This window comes from Homo sapiens, chromosome 20, assembly GCF_000001405.40.
Source record: "Homo sapiens chromosome 20, GRCh38.p14 Primary Assembly".
NCBI lineage: Eukaryota > Metazoa > Chordata > Mammalia > Primates > Hominidae > Homo > Homo sapiens.
In genome coordinates this window covers 23,355,361-23,373,205 of record NC_000020.11, presented here as the reverse complement: position 1 = coordinate 23,373,205, position 17,845 = coordinate 23,355,361, and the positions used below count along the sequence as shown (strand labels likewise).

Sequence of the window (17,845 nt, the reverse complement as noted above, 5' to 3'; positions counted from 1 at the left end):
CCTGGTGCCAAAAAGGTTGGGGACTGCTGTGCTAGATGATCCTCTGACCTGTGTGCCTTTCTCAGTCACATCAAATGAAATATTGTTACTCCTGAGTACATGAATATCATGACATTTGGTTAAATTGACAAGTACCCATCTTGTTTCCCAAAAATGAACTCCTTGGAGGGACAAGGTTTATTTAACAGGTTAAAAATTAAATTATACACTCAAATTTACTTGTTTGGATAATCACCTACAGCAAAATCACATTTCTGTAAAAATCACCTTAAATAAAGGTCTCCACCACATGGCCCATTTTTTCCAAACGACAGCAAAGAATTTGGTAAAACGAAAGGCTGCACATCCCTTTGGAGTTTGGGCTGACAGCATTTCACAGAAAATGGTTGGAAAATGGTTGAAGCAAGCTCCTAAATGGCCCTTCTTGAGGCTCTGGGAGAGGCACTGTGCCGGCACCTGGCCACTTTCCTCATTACACACTTGGGACCAATCCACTCAGATGGTGGCCTCGCTTCCACTCAGCATGGCTGTGCTTGGACTTGGAGGAATGGGGCAGATGCTCCAGGAGGTCCTCTGTAACCAGTCCCCTACAGGGTTACGTTTCTCTGTTCTCAGGGACAGAGAAATGTATATAGTAGAAGTCGTATCTTTGATGCCTACTTTTTACATTGAAGAAAGTGGCAGAGAGCTCAACCGCACTTCCAGCCCGGTTGTGGCCTGCGCATGAGCAGAGGCCAGGATTTCTCCTCTCCAGGATCCCACTGCCAGAGACCAACTGGGATCCAAGCAGTTAAACAGCTTAATCCTAGGACTGTATGAAATAAAGGCTTATGGACCCGGATTTTACATTTCATTATTCACGTAATTAAGCAAATTATATGTTTCAATTAAGAATCATATTTCTGCAGAACCTAAATTATAACAGAAATAGATCTTTAAAAAATTGCAAAACTGCTTTTACAAAGCAGACATTTATTAACAACATTTTTTTGTAGAATTTCTAAGGAAACAAATTCAAGACAAAAATCCCTCCAGTAGGTAACAAAATGATCTATTGTTTCAATTCCTTCTGATCAAGTGACTTTATTCCATAAAACAGTACATCAGCTGGGCAGGTTCGGTCTCCTCTGGATGTATGACAGTCATTATTTATTTGTGCTGTAAACATAACTAGGATACAGTGACACTGTCATAACTAAATTTGAAGTAAATTAGTACTGTGACCTCCAAGGGCAGGTGTGAAGCATGTTATCAGCGCCTGAAACACCTTGTAGTGGTTTCACTAACATAAGTTAAAACATAAGCACTTAGGAAGAAAGTCTTCCCTCATTAATTTCTGGCATAGTGCAGCTACATGTTCATTCTGGAACTTAAAGTACCTTCCTCTTAGAAAATCAAAGTGTTTTCACAGCAAGTTTAATAAATTAAAAATGTAGAGAAAAAAGGAACTAGTGAACAAAAGAATTCTCCAAGGTTCCCTTTTTAAATTAATGTTTAAATGTTACATGTGAATCATAGCATTTCACAAGCACGTGGCACATACTCAAGGCCCTAGAACCAAATGTCAACGTTTAACAAATACAGCAGAATCGTCTTTTCATTGTGAATTTTTAAAAGCAATAATTAAGTCCTGCATGAAACAGCCAAAGAAGCATTTGGGACAAAGTTACTGGTTCTTCACAATCAACTCTTTAAGGCATAATCGGAGGTAAGTGTGCTGAGACTTTTGGTCCCTACTGCTATGTTCTCACATGCTCCCAAGGAAATAGACATGTCAGTTACTTGCCTGTTTCCATCTCTAGGTGTGGAAATGAGAAGTCTGGGTTTCTGGAAATTACAGAAATCAAGTCAGAAAAACCTGGCAAAAGTAATAATACTCTGTGTTCTATAATTTGCCACAGTCACCTCATTTTGCAAATAAAATGACTACACAACTTTCAAGTACTCTAAAGCGTCTTAATTTTTCATGCCTCTGCAAAAAAATACTATATTGTTTTGCTAGACTCTTTGGTAGGACAGCTTTTACCTAATCTGATTTTTTTAAGACAAACTGAACAGCCTCATCTCATTTCTAAGTTGATTTTATGACAAACTTCCTAGCTGCGTATGTGCTGAGATTACGCTAGCAGTTTTGCAGGTGTTCAATCTGTCAGTCATACTTTGTTTACTGCCTACAAATGGGGGGTGGGGAGGAATGAATGCAACAATCTATTTCTTCAGTTGCATTTGAGGGTCCCCACAGAAAATCTGATTTGCTTCAATTCAACAGGGAAGAAATGACTGAAAATATGTGGCCCCAGTTTTATTTCAGCTTGGAAGAAAAATACCTTGAAAGTAGTTATGAGAGAAGTAAACCCACATGGAAATATAAGGCAGAGTGAGAAGCCAGGAAGACTGCTAACTACAATATCAGGAGCTGGTTCAGTTCTCTGTACTCTGCAATTAAGACCAGCAGTTATCTATAAACTAGGTAATCAAGAATTAGAACGATTAGCACATACACCCTACACCAGAATTAAGTGAGGTTATGTTCACTGCCTTTTTGTCAATAAAGTAGCTGAGATCATGCAGATCAGGATTTTTGAGGGAAAGCTTTAAAAATGCTGTGATAAAGCCGTGCAAGTTAGCAGAAGTTCAGGAAAATCTGCAGAGGCCATTCTTGCCCACATCTTTGCACATGGACAATTATTTTTCTTAGCCCCACATCATCTTGAGTTCAGCTACCACACACGCAGACTAACAGGATGGGAACTGCTTGAAGCTCTTATTCCATGTTGCTCAAAGAGTGAAGCTGTGTGGGCATCGAGTCTGTCTGTGGGGTCAGCTCGCTAAGCTCACTGATGGTGGTGGCCAGGAGGGTGTCCTGGGACACCACGGAGTCATCTGCCTTGCAGGCTGTGTCAGCAGAACTGTTCTCCTGCATGGTAGGTACAGTGTCTTGGACTGCAGCCAGGTTGTGGAAATGGCCATTTTCTGCAAAAGACAGCAATTTATCCGAAAGCTTGGATGACACATACTCTTCGTCAGGCTGTTCAGTCTTGTGTCCGTCATCGTTCTTGGGCGAGCCATCTACAATGACAAGGAAAGACTTCCATGGAGTATTCTTATCGTGTATCTATAAGTTAAACACAAAACAAAGGTCACTGAATGTGTCTCTGGACAAGTGCATCTTTTAAAACAATAGTCCCTCTACAACTTCAATTTTCAACTTTCACTAATAAGTACCCGCCTGCCACCACCCTCACTGTTACAGAGTAGTCATCGTGGATGGTGCTTTCCCTGGGCCTTGGGGCTTGGTGTTCCACTTCATTCATTCCGTGAGCGTTCCACTGCAGAGACAACCCAAGGAGAAAGTACCTGTTGTCTCGACCTCTAACCACCTTGGAGAATGGTGGTAGGTATTTCTCTTTCCGTGCATCTAAGGGCAGCAGCTTGTTTCTCAAATAAGCCAACCCACTGCTTACTGAGGTGTGCCGCCGAAGAGTGGACTTGTCGGTGAATGTCCGTCCGCACGCATTGCACATGAATGGCCTCTCCCCTGTGTGGATGCGGCGGTGGCGCTGGAGGGCGTTGAGCTGGGTGAACTGCTTGCCGCACTGGTCACAGCAGTAGGGACGCTCCCCTGAGGCAGGGAGAGAGGAGACTGCTGGTGGGTCCCTTTGGCCTACTGTGCTTAATTCTGAATACACACTTGAGTGAATGATGCTGTTGCAAACCACTGGGAAGCCTCAGCATCCAACATAAGGAAGGTTATGTTGGGAACAACTTAAGGGCTACAAATCCACTATCTCTATAATACCAAGAATTTATGGCCTACACCAAAAAGGGGCCAGGACATGTGCCTGCAGCAGGTATTATAACTATAGGAATGACACCTGTTTTCCATGGTAATGGAGTATAAAATTACAAGACCCCTAACAACTGAATATGCATGTGTGCATGTGCATTTACTAACATGTACAGATCATTATCCCTATGTCCACACATCCACATCCACTTCCTACATTCACACCATGACTAAGCTGTCTGTCCTTTTCAGTAAAAACTCCATGTAGCAAAGGGACTTAGTCTTCTCCCGTTTACACACATAAGTGCTCCCACTTTTCAGTTTCTCAGAGTTAGAAACAATCTCTAAAGAAATGCTATTATGACATACAAAGTTTGGCCAGTTTTCTTCAAAAGCTTAGTTCCAAGTAATTTACTGGTAAATCTACAAGCTTTAGAATTTTTTTTTTGGCCAAACTAAACTCCCTTCCCTGGGACATTCCAACCATACCTGTGTGGACTTTAATATGCTGGTACAGTGAATTCCGCTGGGCAAAAGTCCTGAAACATACTTCACATTTAAAGGGTTTGGATCCAGTATGGATTCTATTGTGGTGTTTTAAGTACTCCTTAGAAGCAAAACTCTTGCCACATGTTTCACACATAAAAGGTCTTTCACCTACATGAGAAAATGAAATAAAGTCATAAACAATACAGGCATTAAAAACACATGGAACAGTAGGTCTCCACTGTTAAAACCCACGTGAACTCAAAAGTGCCTTGGTAGGCAGCATGTTACATTTTCCAGTAAAAACTATCATAAAATATATATTCATGTAAGATGCTTGCTACTTACTGAAAGTTGGTGTAAAATATCCTTGGAAATTGCAAGAAAAATTCCATTTGACTAGAATCAAAGAGGTATTGTTTGTTCAGCTGGCTCACATTTTAGAAATTTACTCATTCCAAACAAGAAAATAATTTCACAACTTCTGTTTGGAGGAACTGCTGGATTATTTTCAAAGGAACACTTCTATGGATCTTTATCAGAATAAAGGGGAAGTTGACAATGGATATATATCACTATTCTAGAGTAGCAACTCCAATCAACTTGATTGAATTGTAGGACAAGAGTTTTAAATATCTCACTTTTTGTAGTTTAATCCCACAAATCAGACTTACCAAATTATTAGCTGTGCCCGATTTCACAGACATCAAAATAAAAATAGTGACTTTAATAAAATCTTACCATGTTAATATTATCAAAGGACCAATTCTAACTTAATCCTTCATTATAACCTGACCTTGTCCCCAATCCCAAGCTTTCTTTAAACAATTCTACTCATTCTGTAGTCATAATGCATGTCATTAAATGCTAATTTCATGACATTAAATGAGATTTTCATTCAATGACATGAATTATGACTTCAGAATGAGCAGAACTGGTGTCTAATCACACAGATGTGGTGTCTAATGAGTCAGAGACATGTCATCTCTGTCTCACATGCATTTGAACTTGAGGCTTGTAAGCCAGTGTTTACAGGTAAGAATAAAAAATGCAAGCAAAGAAGAAACTGAGAAGAATTGGAACACTTCAGTGCTGTATGCTTCTGTATCTTCCACAAGATTCTAAACCTCAGGGTTACTGTGCTGAAGCAGAATAAAGCCAACTTAAGTTTTATCTGTCACATAATTAATAAATCATAAAGACTTTGGAAAACAGAAATGAGATAATCCTACTACCTTAATGTATCATATAACAACTTATTTTCTTCTGGTCTTTTATGTGCAGGTTTTCAATACAATTGAGGTTAACTGTATGCTTAATTGTGCATTTTAAAGTTGAACATCCAAGCACAGACTTTTTCATGTCATTCAGAGCCCTTACTCTGAATAGCCGGGTCATAAGCCAGGGTATAGATTTACCAGAGTTGACTAGAGCACTTCCTTGTAGTTGGACAATCAGGCTGTTTCCCATTCTTAGTTAAAAATAGCAAGAAGGGGGATAATAGCATACAGCTCTTCCCATATGTTGGACAATTTCTTTAGGACAGAGTCTTAGAAAAAAAAATTTCGGTTACAAAAGAACTATTTTATATCTCTTGATACCTAAGACCTGCATGCCAGATCCTATGGCCTGGTGGTATAAAAGCCACAGCCATGTGCACACTAGCAACAAGGCAATGGGTGTATGTTTATTCATTTTGCTCACTTACTAGATGGAAAAGCTATATCATGGCTTTAACCTGCACCACCTTGGTAGATGCCAACTTCAAAATTAATCAATTGCATTTCCTTCTAGATCTAGGAAAGACATTCAATCACAACAGCATGAGTATTTACCTGTGTGACACCTTTTATGATAAATCAGCATGTGGTTCTGAGTGAATCTTGCACCACATTCATCACAGACAAAAGGTTTTTCCCCTGTATGAATTCTGAAAGTACAACATTCAGATGATAACTTAGGATGTATTTCAAAGCTCACTTTGCAATACAATTTCCACTCTATCCTGCAAAAATCGTTTACTCCAAGAGACCTAATGAGAATGACTGTAGTGACAGGTCAAGAGCCCATAATCTCCATCCCAAAATAAACTGAGTTTCTGCACAAGGTCAATGGATCCACACATTTTCCATAAATCACTGACTGGAATGTTCATCTACACCTGATCACAAGCCCTACTGCTGATGCTATAAGGCATGTGCAGGTAGAGACCAGGCCTTTGCAGATTTTTTTAAACACTAAAGACCACAATCTGATATTTGTAAAGCTGTCTCATACAGAATAATCAGCCACAAACACCTTAGGAACTACTGCTGATTAAGTGTCACATGATCAAAAATGTTACTCTCATTTCCTAATATGACATCACCAGTAGAGAAAGGAGAACTGTTCTCAAATTGCCGAAGGTGGCATTTTTAAAATGCATAAGCATTTTAATGTCACAACTAGTATGAAGTAGCAATCAAACATAATTTACTGAGCACTTCCTAAACCAAGTATTTTTAACTTATTATATAGAGTAAAAAATGAACACCATGCTGCTAACCCAAGACTGACCTAGGTTTGAGGGCAGATCTAGAAGAGAAGAGAAAACAACTGCTTGTTGGGATTTCAAGAATAAATATACTAAGAACTATAAGAAAACTTATTTAAAAACATCACCACACACCTGCAGCTCAGAAACATATTAAGAAACAGAAAGCACTGTCTGTCCTGATTCTGGAGTGCAGACTGCCTAGATGGCACTCCTTCCAAGCCTGAGAACCAAAAGACCAGAGACGAGTCCTAAAGCCTGAAATGGCATCTCACTGAGGTCTCTACTGAGACTGTGGGACCCGGATGGTCACAGAACCCCAAGATCTAAACGAAGAGTCAGGAAAGGAGAAATAAAGGTAACGAGGCCCAACTCTTCCTCCAGCACGGTGGGGCGAGCCCGCGGCCGCTGTCGCGGTCCCACCAGAGGGACGTCCCGGCCAGCAGGGGCGCCCCAGGGGTCTCAGAACAAGGGAGCAGAGCCATCACTCGCAGCCCCTGTACCTTGACAGAGAACTAAACGCTGTCTCGAAATAAGCCCCCAGGTTTGGAGCGGAGAAATTAAGCAGTGAGACATCAAATCCCAGGACGACCTCAGTGCTTGACACACCCTTCCAGTGCGCAGGGACCCCTCCGGACGGCTCCCCGCGTACCTCATGTGCGTCTTGAGCGCGGACGGCTGCGAGAACCTGGCGCCGCACTCGGTGCAGCCGTAGGGCCGGTCTCCCGTGTGTGTGCGCTCGTGCAGCCGCAGCGCTGTCTTGGAACTCAGGCCCTTGCCGCACTGGCCGCAGCGGTGCCGCTCGCCGCCGCCCTCATGCACCTGCAGCACGTGCCGCTTCACGTCCTTCTTGCGCTTGAACTTCTTCCCGCACAGCTCGCATGGGAAATGGCGCTCGCTGCTGTGCACGTGGCGCTGGTGGCTCTTCAGGTTGCAGCGGTTGGCGAAGGTCTGGCCGCAGGTGTCGCAGCGGTACACCACCTCGGTGGCCACGCCGTGGCGGTGCTTGCTGTGCTTCAGGAAGCTCTTCTCATACAGAAACGCCTTCTCGCAAATGCTGCACTTAAAGTTGCTCTTCTTCTTCTCCCCTTCTTCGTCCTCCTCCTCCTCCTCCTCTTCCTCCTCCGGCCCTGCTTTCTTTGACAATTCCTCCAACTCAGCACCTGCCTGGCAACCCTCATTTTTGGAAACCTGCTCCATCTCCGTGCCCACCCTGTCCGGGCTTTGGTCCTGGGGACACCTGTAGTCCCCCACATCACCCTCAGCAGTTTTCTGCTGCTCTCGGAGTCTTCTCGTATATTTCTTTTTAGGGATCTCCACAAAGACCTTCCTCCCAGCCAGCCTTCCACTAGCTCTCCTGATTTTAGGGTAGGGAGGTTTAACTACCTCTTTCTTCTTGTCTAGTTTGTCCTTGGACTTCTTCGGTGGCAAATCTGAAGACATGCCATTGCTGGCTCTCTCTCCTGGGTAGTCCAAGGAATCCGTGAGACCACTGGGGTGAGGGCCATCGGTGGCCACACTTGCCCTGGGGGCAGGAGCAGCACTAACTTGGGAGCCACTGCTCACCTCCACCTCCTGAGACTCTGAGAAATTTTGCAACTCCAAAAGTACTGACTCTAACATCTGTTTCTTTAATTGAAAACAAGTTTCTGATAAATCCAAACATTTCAGCTTTTCAGCCACTTCCAGCATTCGCTGCACCCGATCTTCTTCCACCTGTACCTTTGCAGTGTAGACAAACTCAAGAAATGAAGCAAAGTCAGCAACCTGCACTTCATTTAAGTAGACATTAGTCCTAGTACCATCCACACTCTTCTCATTAAGGAACACTTCCTTAAAAAACTTGCTGGTGGCAGCCAGCACTGCCTTGTGGGCCATGAAGTCTTTGCGGACACCCTGATACTCCACGCTGACTGTCACGTCACACAGGTGACCCAGGAGGCGAAGCTCATGCATCTCATGCAGTAGGTTAAATGGGGAGGATTTGGATTCCAGCAGAACTGCACCGCTTTCCATCTTTCTTCCTTCCAAAAACAGCTTTGAAAAAGAAACAAGAATTATGCATGAGCAACCACTGATGCAAAAGGACTAAAATTTATGAGGATTCCTTCAGTACTTGAGAGGATATAGACTCATTAACAACCTAGCTTTACTCAGGTAAAGATTCGAATGACATTTTACTTCTTAGCAGTTTTCTAAAGTGAGGTTCCTCATGCATTTTCCTAAGGTAATAAATTGGCATGAAAAATAGTGTATTCTAAGGTTTCCTCCAGTGATAAACAAATGATGGAAGTTGTGATTAGTGAAATACATTAACACAGTAATTTGCTCACCAAGGTCACTGTCTAATTTGCTTACATAGTCCCCAAAACTGTAAAAGAATTCATGGCAACAATAATGTCTAGTTCTCTGATCAGGAAACCAGATAATTAAAACACATAGCCACCACCATCTGGGAGCAAATCCAAAACCTCAGGGAATCATTTCTGCCTTTGAAAAGAACCAACTAAATAACTACTTTCCATGAGGAAAACTTCTTGGAAAAGTAGTTCACAATTCATCGCCCATTCCCAACATCCTAAACTCCTCAGAATTTGAATTATTGTTACTCTACTGAAATAATGTTAAGTTCCACAGCTTTTACAAGCTGTGCTACTTTGAGCAAGCAACTTCTCTGAACCCATTTCCTCCTCTGAAGAAGGCTGACCGGCTGTTACCAGGGTTCCATGAGCCTGAAACTTGTTGGCTAGTTTATTGGTTTCCCACACATAGGCCAAGGTGCTACAGTGATCCCCATTTCATAGATGAGGACCTATCAAGGTAACAGTCAATGGCTGGTTGGGACATGAGCCAGGGCCTGGTGCCCGGATTCAACTCAGACTACTCAACACACTCTTCCCCTCAGCCTTGCCAAAGGCAAAGGGCTATCTTTAGCCCCTAAATCTTTCCACTGCAGCGGGCATGCAAATTTCACCAACCCCACCTAAGGCCTCCAGATACCGTCACCCCATCGTCATTTCTGCTGCTTTGCCACAAACTCCCTGAATGTGTTTTCTCCCTGCCCTTCAGCTCCTGAATCTACCTTCCTCTTTGATTCCTGTTTCCATCCATCCAAAGCACATGCCTTCCTTCTAGCCTCCTTCGGCCAGACCACAGATGTCACCTCGGATTCAACGTGTCTAGAAAAAAAGTTGTCATCATCTTCCCTGATAAACTAGTCCCACCCCTCTCCCCTTCTCCAGTCTCATCAATGAGACCGCTCCCCACAACTAGCAGTCCCTCAAACATGGAAAAGACTGCCCTCTGGGAGTTCCGCTGTAAACAGGTACCTATGAGGCTTGATCAATGTCGCCTGAAGGAGACGCCCCAGTAAAACTGTGAGAACACTGACAAAGCCTAAGGAAGGGATCTATAAGAGTGGGGCTCTTATAGAGCCACTGGGGTTTCAGTGGTCCCAGCCCCAGCCTGGGGAAACAAGACTGCAGAGGGCTCTCTCAGCCTGATGCCCTGACTTCCCCAGACCTCTGCCAACAGGGCCCTCGAGGAGACCTGATTTCTCAATCAACAAAGTGGGTTCTGAGCGCGATTTCCTATGTTGCTTGGCTACTGGAGTGCAGGCACTGGAGGTGGCGACAGGGCAGTCTGCGGCCGGTGACAGCTGCGTATCCGCCGAATCTCATTGGCATTCCGGCCGCCTCCCAGTGCGCCCGGCATCTGCACCAACGTCGGCGGCCCCTGAATCCCCGAGGCTCACGGGGCCAGAGCCCTTCCAGGAGACGCTGCTACCCGCAGCCCAGTCCACGGCCACAAGGGCCGGGGTTTCCAGTGGGGCTTAAATCCGCCGCTGTCCTCGCCGCCCTCACGGCACCTCCCACCCTTCCCGCGCCACTTGGCCGCCCCAGCGCCCGGACGCCGCTCGGCCACTCCAAAGACGACCCAGAGAACAAACTACTGCAGCCACAGAGAAGCCCCTCCTCGGCCCGACGCGCCGCCTCCCGACGCGGGCATCCGGGGCCGCGTGGATCAGGCCCTCGGGCCGCCCCCTGCCCCCGCTCCCGCATCCCCGAGACGCGCAGGTCCACAGAGCAGCCGGGGCGCGCGGACAAAGAGGCGGCGGCGGGCGGCGAGGGGCCGGAGCCAGGCCTACGGGCCGCGCACTCACCTCCCAGCCGGCGCCCCCGCTGCAGCCGCTGTCCGCTGGACCAGGCCGGTAGGAACGGCCGGCCCGGCTGGGCGTGGCGTAGCACCCTGCGCGGGCACCGCCGATTGGTCGCTGCAGGCCCCTCCCCTCCCGCGGCCGGCCCCGCCCCTGGCGGGGCTGAGGAAGGGGCTGAGCCACACGTCGGGCGGCGGAGCGGTTCGGGCAGTTACCTGATCTGGCCGCGCGACTGACTGGCGACGCCGGATTGCGTCACCCGCCGCATTGCGTCACCCGCCGCGAGCCAAGGCCTGCGCCTGCGCAGGAGACAGCGACGTCTGCGCTGCGGCACGCCACAGGGGGGCGGGGCCAGTCGCGAAAAGTCACGTGAGCGTCAGATTCGCGTGGTCACTTTCGCGTCCATTCCGGGCTTCTGGCCGCAAGGCGCCAGCGCTTCCGGGCCCCAGCAGCCTGCGGTCAGGGCCTGCAGCTGGCTTCCCACTAAGAGCTGCTCACGTCCCCGAGGCCGAGCGCACCCTTAGGGCACGGTGGCCACGCGAGGGACCTCGCGGAAAGCCGGGCTTGGAGCTGGTACTCACCTTGGCTACTAGGGGCGCAGATGCCTCCACGGGCGCTGGAGAACTGGCGCCAGGCGGGGCTCGGCGCGGCGCTCTCCTCTGGGGCGCTTCTTCCGCGGTGCCCCCGCCCTGCTGGGGGGCTCGGCGCGCCAGGAGCCGGGACCGCACCCTGCCGTCTTTACTGCAGGGCTTTATTTCCAGGAGTTCCCATTCGGGCGAAAGCTTTGTTCACTACAGAACTTCCCCAGAGACCCATCCACTCTTCGGGGAAAGCACAATTGATTCCCTAAGATTCGCTGACTCCTCGAAATCTTGCTGTTTCCACCAATTCTTGCTCAATACTAACTAAAGCCCGCTTTGAAACACCTTCCTTGAGTCAGACTTCCAGTTCTCAATAAACTGACCTTGCCTTTTGCTCCCAGCCATTGGTAAAGCTTTGCCAGGTCATGCTGTCCCTTACTGTGGCCAGCAGTTAACTCAGCCTTGTCTTACCGACACGTTGAGTTTGTAATGTTTGGGGACTGTCAGGACAAATACAAATTTAAAATAAGGTTTACTACTTCCTGTTGAAAATATGAGATTTCCCTCCCTTTTTCTTCGAACATTTACTTTTAGAAAATTGGTAATTAGTGTAAGTACTTTTTCCTCTCTTTGAAATATATAAATCCTTTTGAAGACTAGTTAGGCCTTTTTGTGCGCTTTATAACCTAGATATGTCTTTTTCTAGGACCTAGGAGCCATCTCTTTAAGTATCAAGGGAGTTAATGCCCCTGTCTCCCAGTTTTAATGGGGGAGTAGGAGCCTAACTTCAGTGGGCCCTTTGCTCCAACTTACAAAATTATCTCATATCATAAAGATACAAGTTTCTTTTTCCTCTAGATAAAGCCAATTGGCTAACACAGAGGATCATCCCAAATATCAGGTTAGATGAACTGTGTGTGATGAAAAATGCTGCCAAGTTCCCTTGAGAGCTAGTTATTGTTTATCTTGAAAATGTGTGTAATAGATTGCTTGGCTGCACAAAAGAGTGAGATTTCGTTCTGTCTTTGCAGTCTCTTAATGGATTGCCTGTGATGGGTATCACATTCTAGTTTAATGCTTATTCAATTACAAAGTGTTTTCTTTCTCCACTACCTTTCTGAAGAGGGTTGGGAGATTGTACTTTTAATTATATTTCCTGAACAGGAGCCAGCTTCCCACACATAGTAGGTGCTCAATAAATATTTGAAGAATGAATGAGTGACAGAAATCTTTCTTAGGCCGACTCTCTATATTTGCATTCCATGATTTGAAGAAATTGGAATGAACGCAGTTTTCACCCATGGCTCCAGCAGGCCCAGAATCGTGTTTTATGATTTTGTTTTGCATTACAAAAAGGTGGTCAGGCACGGTGGCTCACGCCTGTAATCCCAGCACTTTGGGAGGCCGAGGCGGGCCGATCACTTGAGGTCAGGAGTTGAAGACCAGCCTGGCCAACATGGTGAAACCCCGTCTCTGCTAAAATACAAAAATTAGGCCAGGTGCGGTGGCTCACACCTGTAATTCTAGCACTTTGGGAGGCTGAAGTGGGCGGATCACCTGAGGTCAGGAGTTCAAGACCAGCCTGGACAACATGGTGAAACCCTTTCCCTGCTAATAATACAAAAATTAGCTGGGCGAGGTGGTACATGCCTTTAATCCCAGCTATTCAGGAGACTGAGGCAGGAGAATCGCTTGAACATGGGAGGCAGAGGTTGCAGTGAGCGGAGATTGCACCACTGCATTCCAGCCTGGGCAACAGAGGAAAACTCTGTCTCAAAAAAACAAAACCAAATTAGCCGGGAGTGGTGACAGGCACTTGTAATCCCAGATGCTCAGGAGGCTGAGGCAGGAGAATCACTTGAACCCAGGAGATGGAGGTTGCAGTGAGCTTCGATCATGCCATTGCACTCCAGCCTGGGCAATAGAATGAGACTCCGTCTCCGATTATGTTAGCTAGCATAACATAATGCTAGCTTATCCATTCAATACTGAAAGGATTGCTTTAGTTGAGTGTCTTAATAGCTTTAAAAATAGAGGTCATAAGACTCACAGACTCTTTGTGGCAATACTAAATGATAAAGAATGAAGGGCCATGCCTGGCAAGGGTTGTCATGCACCTCTACACTTCAAGAAGAAACTATGCCTTAACTGCCACAAGGTTTTTATTCTCTGGCAGCCAAACAAGCACTGGCCTCTAGATAAGCAATATTCAAACAATGTGCTTTTCATCCACCTCCACATGCTGACTGACACGCCCCCTGCCCCAGCCCCACCACTTCCACAAATAATTACTGCTTTGATTGGACCAGAGACTGACTGCAGTAACTTTTTCCTGATGGGAAACAACCGAACAGGGGCTGATTCTGGCGGTTTACAGAGGCTGCACACAAGTGCATCGGTGTCCTGAAAAGATCTTTCAACTTATAGGGTCTAAATGTAATACATGAATACCTGTAAATGCTAAGAGTCCACCCCAAAGTAAACATAGGTCACCTGTAACATGCACGTTTGTCCAGTAAGCATGGGTCAGGACCCGTTTCATGAATATTCATAGCTCTTCCTGTGGCCTGTTCATATGTGTACTTGGCTAAGTCCTTCAGCTTAAATTCCTGTCTTAGGCCCCCTTCCCTCCAGCTGCCTGCCTTTTGAGCTTCTGCCAGAAGCTATGCTTCCCAGCCTGTCAGAAGGGCCACCTTGCAGGTTATCACCGTTTAAAGAAATAAAGCTCTCCTTTCTATGTTTGTGATCTTTTTTTTAAATAATACAAATAGACAATTCACTTGACAGTGTGAATGGCATACTTCACTGACAATGGAATACTATAAAAACAATAATAAACCACTGATAAACATCAACCTGACAAAGTTAAATATAGTGTTTCATGCTGTAGAACTCTGCACGAGAAAAGTACACGGGAGTGAACAATTGTTACGTAAGGGCGTTCACTGCAGTGCACTTACATTAGTGAAACTTTGGAAACAATCTCACCTATAAGGAGATGGCCGAAGAATTTGATATATCCAAGCACTGGATTATTATGCCGGTCATTAAAACAATGTTTAAAAATATGTGTAATAGCTTGGGGAAATGCTCACCATGTTATAATGAGTAAAGACGGTACACTATTTTACATAGGGTCTGATGTGATTTGAAAACAAATCTATAGAAATAGACTGGAAAGAAATGTATCAAATTCTAAACTGCACAAGGAAGAACACTGACGCACGCGCAACGCCGGCGCCCTGCCCACTAGGCGCCCTCGCTGCCCCTCACCTGCACAGCCGGCGCACGCCCACAGGCTCGTGAGGGAGCGGCCGGTGGGTCAGGCTGGGCGGCACTCCTCGCCCATTGGCTGTCCCGGAGTCCGGCCCCGCCTCTCCCCGCCTTCTGGAGCCGCTGGTATAGCTCCTTCCAGGGCTCCTTGGAGACGGAGGGCGGGGCTAGGGCGCCGGAGTCACGTGGTCGCGCCACCGCGCGATTACTAGCTGTCAAAAGAGTCCTCAGAAGTGTCCTGAGCGGTCGCAGGGTAATGACGTCGGCCGTATCGGGGATGCTGGAACCTGCGGTTGAGTGAGAAACCGGCGCCACCGCCTGCGTCTTGGTCTCGGGCTGGTGGCCAGCGGGGTCTGGGCGTGGTTTTACCCAGCTCCTTTGCGAAGCTGCTGTCCTTTCCTCAACGTTACCACCCGGCTGGGCAGCCTACCCTCGGTCAGTACGTCCTGGCAAGAGCGCTTCGGGCGTGGCGTTCGTGTCGCGGGGGCCTCGGCTCAGAAGCGAGGGAAGAGCAGCCCTCAGAGGAGCGGCGACCGCGCTTACCGGGAGCCCGGGTTGGGAGAGGGCTCCCCAGGAGGGGTGTGAGCTCCGAACGAGAAAGAACGCCACCGCCTCGTGGGGTCTCTTCCTAATGTGCAGATTCCAAATCTCTACAATGCTGCAAAAGAGGTTACAGTCCACATCAAATTAAGCATGCCCTAAAGGGCAGCTGGGGTTCAGTTCAAGAGTTGAGTTTTAACACACACCTTTACCTGCCTTAAAATTGGGCAAGGTATCACAACGTTAAACCATTTCTCACAAGGCTCGTTGGTGATGTTTAAGATTTTTTGTTTGTTTGTTTGTTTTTTGTTACGGAGTCTCGCTCTGTCGCCCAGACTGGAATGCAGTGGCGCGATCTTGGCTGACTACAACCTCCGCCTCCTGGGTTCAAGCGATTGTCCTGCCTCAGCTTCCTGAGTAGCTGGGATTACAGGCGCCTGCCACCACGCCCAGCTAATTTTTCTATTTTTAGTAGAAACGGGGTTTCGCCTTGTTGGCCAGGCTGGTCTTAAGTTTTGCATCCTGGCTCCCTCCTCTTACCTAGTCCCAGCCTCTTGTCTACAGGACAAAGCAACTTTCTGCAGTTTTCTGTTTGCTCTTTAGAGAGACGGGGCCCTAATTTGGCAAAGTGGTAGGGGAGACAGGGCTGGTGTTTAAGGTCGACCAAAGCAACATCTAAATCTCTGCTCTTCCCCCAAATTGTCCAAATTAGCAGCAACAGGTGTGCACCTTCCAAGCTTGCAACAGACCACATTCAGAAGCTTGATTTCTTGTTGTTCTGGGAATATCTGGATCAGAGGTAACATGGTTCACTAGGACTCCTCAGCTTCACCCAGTGTCCATTTCACCTCCCCCGGCCTTCCAATGTCTCTTCTTGCAGATTTCTCCAAGCCACTCTCCCCGTCATCTCCTCCACCCCCAGGACCCAACTCCTGCCCCTCCCACCCTAGCCCCTGTTCTCCCTGCCCACCTCCTACCCCACTGGAGTGGCCTTTCATCAAACCTAAACCAAAGAAACCAACAGACCTTGCTGTCACCACTACTCCGGGACCTGGAAGTTAAAGCGAGGGAGAGACGGTGAAACACAGAAAGCAGAACGCCTTCTGTTCTTCCACAACACAGGGTTTGTGGACGTGGCCACTATAAGAACTCGCACTGCGTGCTGATTATACTCCTCAGCACAATTCATTTCTTAAACTTTTTAGAATAATTTAAAATTTACAAAAAGTTGCAAAAATAAAAACCAGTAAACTTTTCACCTTCATCTGCCTTATAATTAAGGCAGCGGGCAGCGCGCTGGACAGAACGGGAGGGGCTTGCGCTTTCCGCCGGTGGGAAACCCCACCCGCAGGGACGAGCCGGGACCATCTGGCCCTACCTGCCGAACGGCCGCTTGGTGGAGATGTGTCCCAGAACCGAAGGAGGAGGGTGCCACGCACATTTGTCTTGCCTTCCCCGGTGGCGGGGGCATGGCAAGGGCGGAGCTTCCCGCTGTGCCCTTGGAGGCCGCCTGCAACCAGGCTAGTGTAGGTGGGGACGCACGCCCTGTACCCTACCCATCCTGCCCATTGCGGGTCTGGCCCGGACCTGAAGGGCAGTAGTTGGGGCCGTCCCCGCGTCTTCTGGGCCCTGTAGTGAATACAGTCTGCCCCATTCAAATCCTTTTCCTCACTTAGGATTACTGCTGTGTGTCAGTGTCACACACCCCAAATTGATAATGGCTTAAGATGGGATTTCTCATTTAAAAAGAAGTCTTTGGTTGAGTGAGCTGGGGCTATTTTGGTGTTTCCACATGGGACCTAGGCTCCTTTTAGCTCAGCACTATCCTACGTCTAGGGTATGGCTGAGCTGTTCTCTTGGCCAAGACTGAGCCAGAGCCCGTGGTCAGGTCAGCATAACCTTTCCAGGCAGCAGGATAGAGTGGGAAAGAAAGAAGGGTCTGTTGAAGGAAAATTCCCCCAAGTTCAGTCCTACTTCATTGGCCAGAACTTAATCACATGTCAGACCTAGCTACAAATTGAATGAGAAAGTCAAGTATTTAAGGTGGGTCCCTTATCTCTCAAAACACTGGGCTTCAGATAATAGAGAAGGGAAGGGGTGTCAAGAGGAAACGGCTACCTGTGTCACTGTGCTTATCAGGATTCTTACCCTTCTCAAAATTTCCCATTGCAGTATCTTGACTACCCTATCCCAAACCTAGCACACTTTTACCAAAGACAACTTAACTGGGGAAGCTGCAGCATGGCAGGCACATCATCTATTGGTCCAACTTCTATAGGGTTTTCTATTCTTTACATTGAAGAAATGCAATTGGGTTTGGCCTTTAGGATCAGTAACAGCAGCTTCTGGTTCTGATGTCCTCCATCCTAGTTTCAGTGCTTCTTCCTCTCAGAATCAGTGCTGATTCACTTTCTCTTTATCAATGAGTTTAATATAGTGGCTTCATTTATAAGCAATTAGCTAACTCTAGTATTTCATCTGTTCTCATC

At 46.9% G+C, this 17,845-nt stretch overlaps 1 protein-coding gene and 1 long non-coding RNA gene across 17 annotated transcripts, besides 7 other annotated features; one reads left to right on the top strand and one right to left on the bottom strand.

Moving 5' to 3' along the window:
* GZF1 (GDNF inducible zinc finger protein 1) lies at positions 144 to 12,079 on the bottom strand. 16 transcript variants are annotated; one of them, XM_024451968.2, is made up of 7 exons: positions 10,136 to 11,024; positions 9,889 to 9,985; positions 7,459 to 8,843; positions 6,109 to 6,203; positions 4,277 to 4,444; positions 3,465 to 3,622; positions 144 to 3,115 (listed from the first exon to the last, which is right to left on the bottom strand). In XM_024451968.2, exons 3-7 carry the CDS (start codon positions 8,820 to 8,822, stop codon positions 2,765 to 2,767), a joined length of 2,136 nt encoding a protein of 711 aa, XP_024307736.1. In that variant the 5' UTR covers positions 8,823 to 8,843; positions 9,889 to 9,985; positions 10,136 to 11,024; the 3' UTR covers positions 144 to 2,764. The 16 variants fall into 16 exon arrangements, with proteins under 16 accessions (XP_024307736.1, XP_047296331.1, XP_024307737.1 ...); XM_047440375.1 differs by having other exon boundaries at positions 144 to 3,069; XM_024451969.2 differs by having other exon boundaries at positions 10,356 to 11,024.
* Positions 9,425 to 9,484: an enhancer, noted in NCBI's record as "active region_17637". NCBI's record gives its function as "activates an Ori minimal core promoter by ATAC-STARR-seq in GM12878 lymphoblastoid cells {active_cell/tissue: GM12878}" and the evidence as "EXISTENCE:reporter gene assay evidence [ECO:0000049][PMID:35858748]".
* Positions 10,739 to 11,228: a silencer, noted in NCBI's record as "silent region_12728". NCBI's record gives its function as "represses an Ori minimal core promoter by ATAC-STARR-seq in GM12878 lymphoblastoid cells {active_cell/tissue: GM12878}" and the evidence as "EXISTENCE:reporter gene assay evidence [ECO:0000049][PMID:35858748]".
* Positions 11,299 to 11,558: an enhancer, noted in NCBI's record as "active region_17636". NCBI's record gives its function as "activates an Ori minimal core promoter by ATAC-STARR-seq in GM12878 lymphoblastoid cells {active_cell/tissue: GM12878}" and the evidence as "EXISTENCE:reporter gene assay evidence [ECO:0000049][PMID:35858748]".
* Positions 11,649 to 11,738: a silencer, noted in NCBI's record as "silent region_12727". NCBI's record gives its function as "represses an Ori minimal core promoter by ATAC-STARR-seq in GM12878 lymphoblastoid cells {active_cell/tissue: GM12878}" and the evidence as "EXISTENCE:reporter gene assay evidence [ECO:0000049][PMID:35858748]".
* Positions 14,744 to 14,933: a silencer, noted in NCBI's record as "silent region_12726". NCBI's record gives its function as "represses an Ori minimal core promoter by ATAC-STARR-seq in GM12878 lymphoblastoid cells {active_cell/tissue: GM12878}" and the evidence as "EXISTENCE:reporter gene assay evidence [ECO:0000049][PMID:35858748]".
* Positions 14,984 to 15,373: an enhancer, noted in NCBI's record as "active region_17635". NCBI's record gives its function as "activates an Ori minimal core promoter by ATAC-STARR-seq in GM12878 lymphoblastoid cells {active_cell/tissue: GM12878}" and the evidence as "EXISTENCE:reporter gene assay evidence [ECO:0000049][PMID:35858748]".
* On the top strand, positions 15,079 to 16,612 carry LINC01431 (long intergenic non-protein coding RNA 1431). Its single transcript, NR_109884.1, has 3 exons — positions 15,079 to 15,251; positions 16,069 to 16,155; positions 16,237 to 16,612. It is a non-coding gene; the product is annotated as a long intergenic non-protein coding RNA 1431 (long non-coding RNA).
* Positions 15,564 to 15,653: an enhancer, noted in NCBI's record as "active region_17634". NCBI's record gives its function as "activates an Ori minimal core promoter by ATAC-STARR-seq in GM12878 lymphoblastoid cells {active_cell/tissue: GM12878}" and the evidence as "EXISTENCE:reporter gene assay evidence [ECO:0000049][PMID:35858748]".
* Positions 16,613 to 17,845: the final 1,233 nt, after the last annotated feature.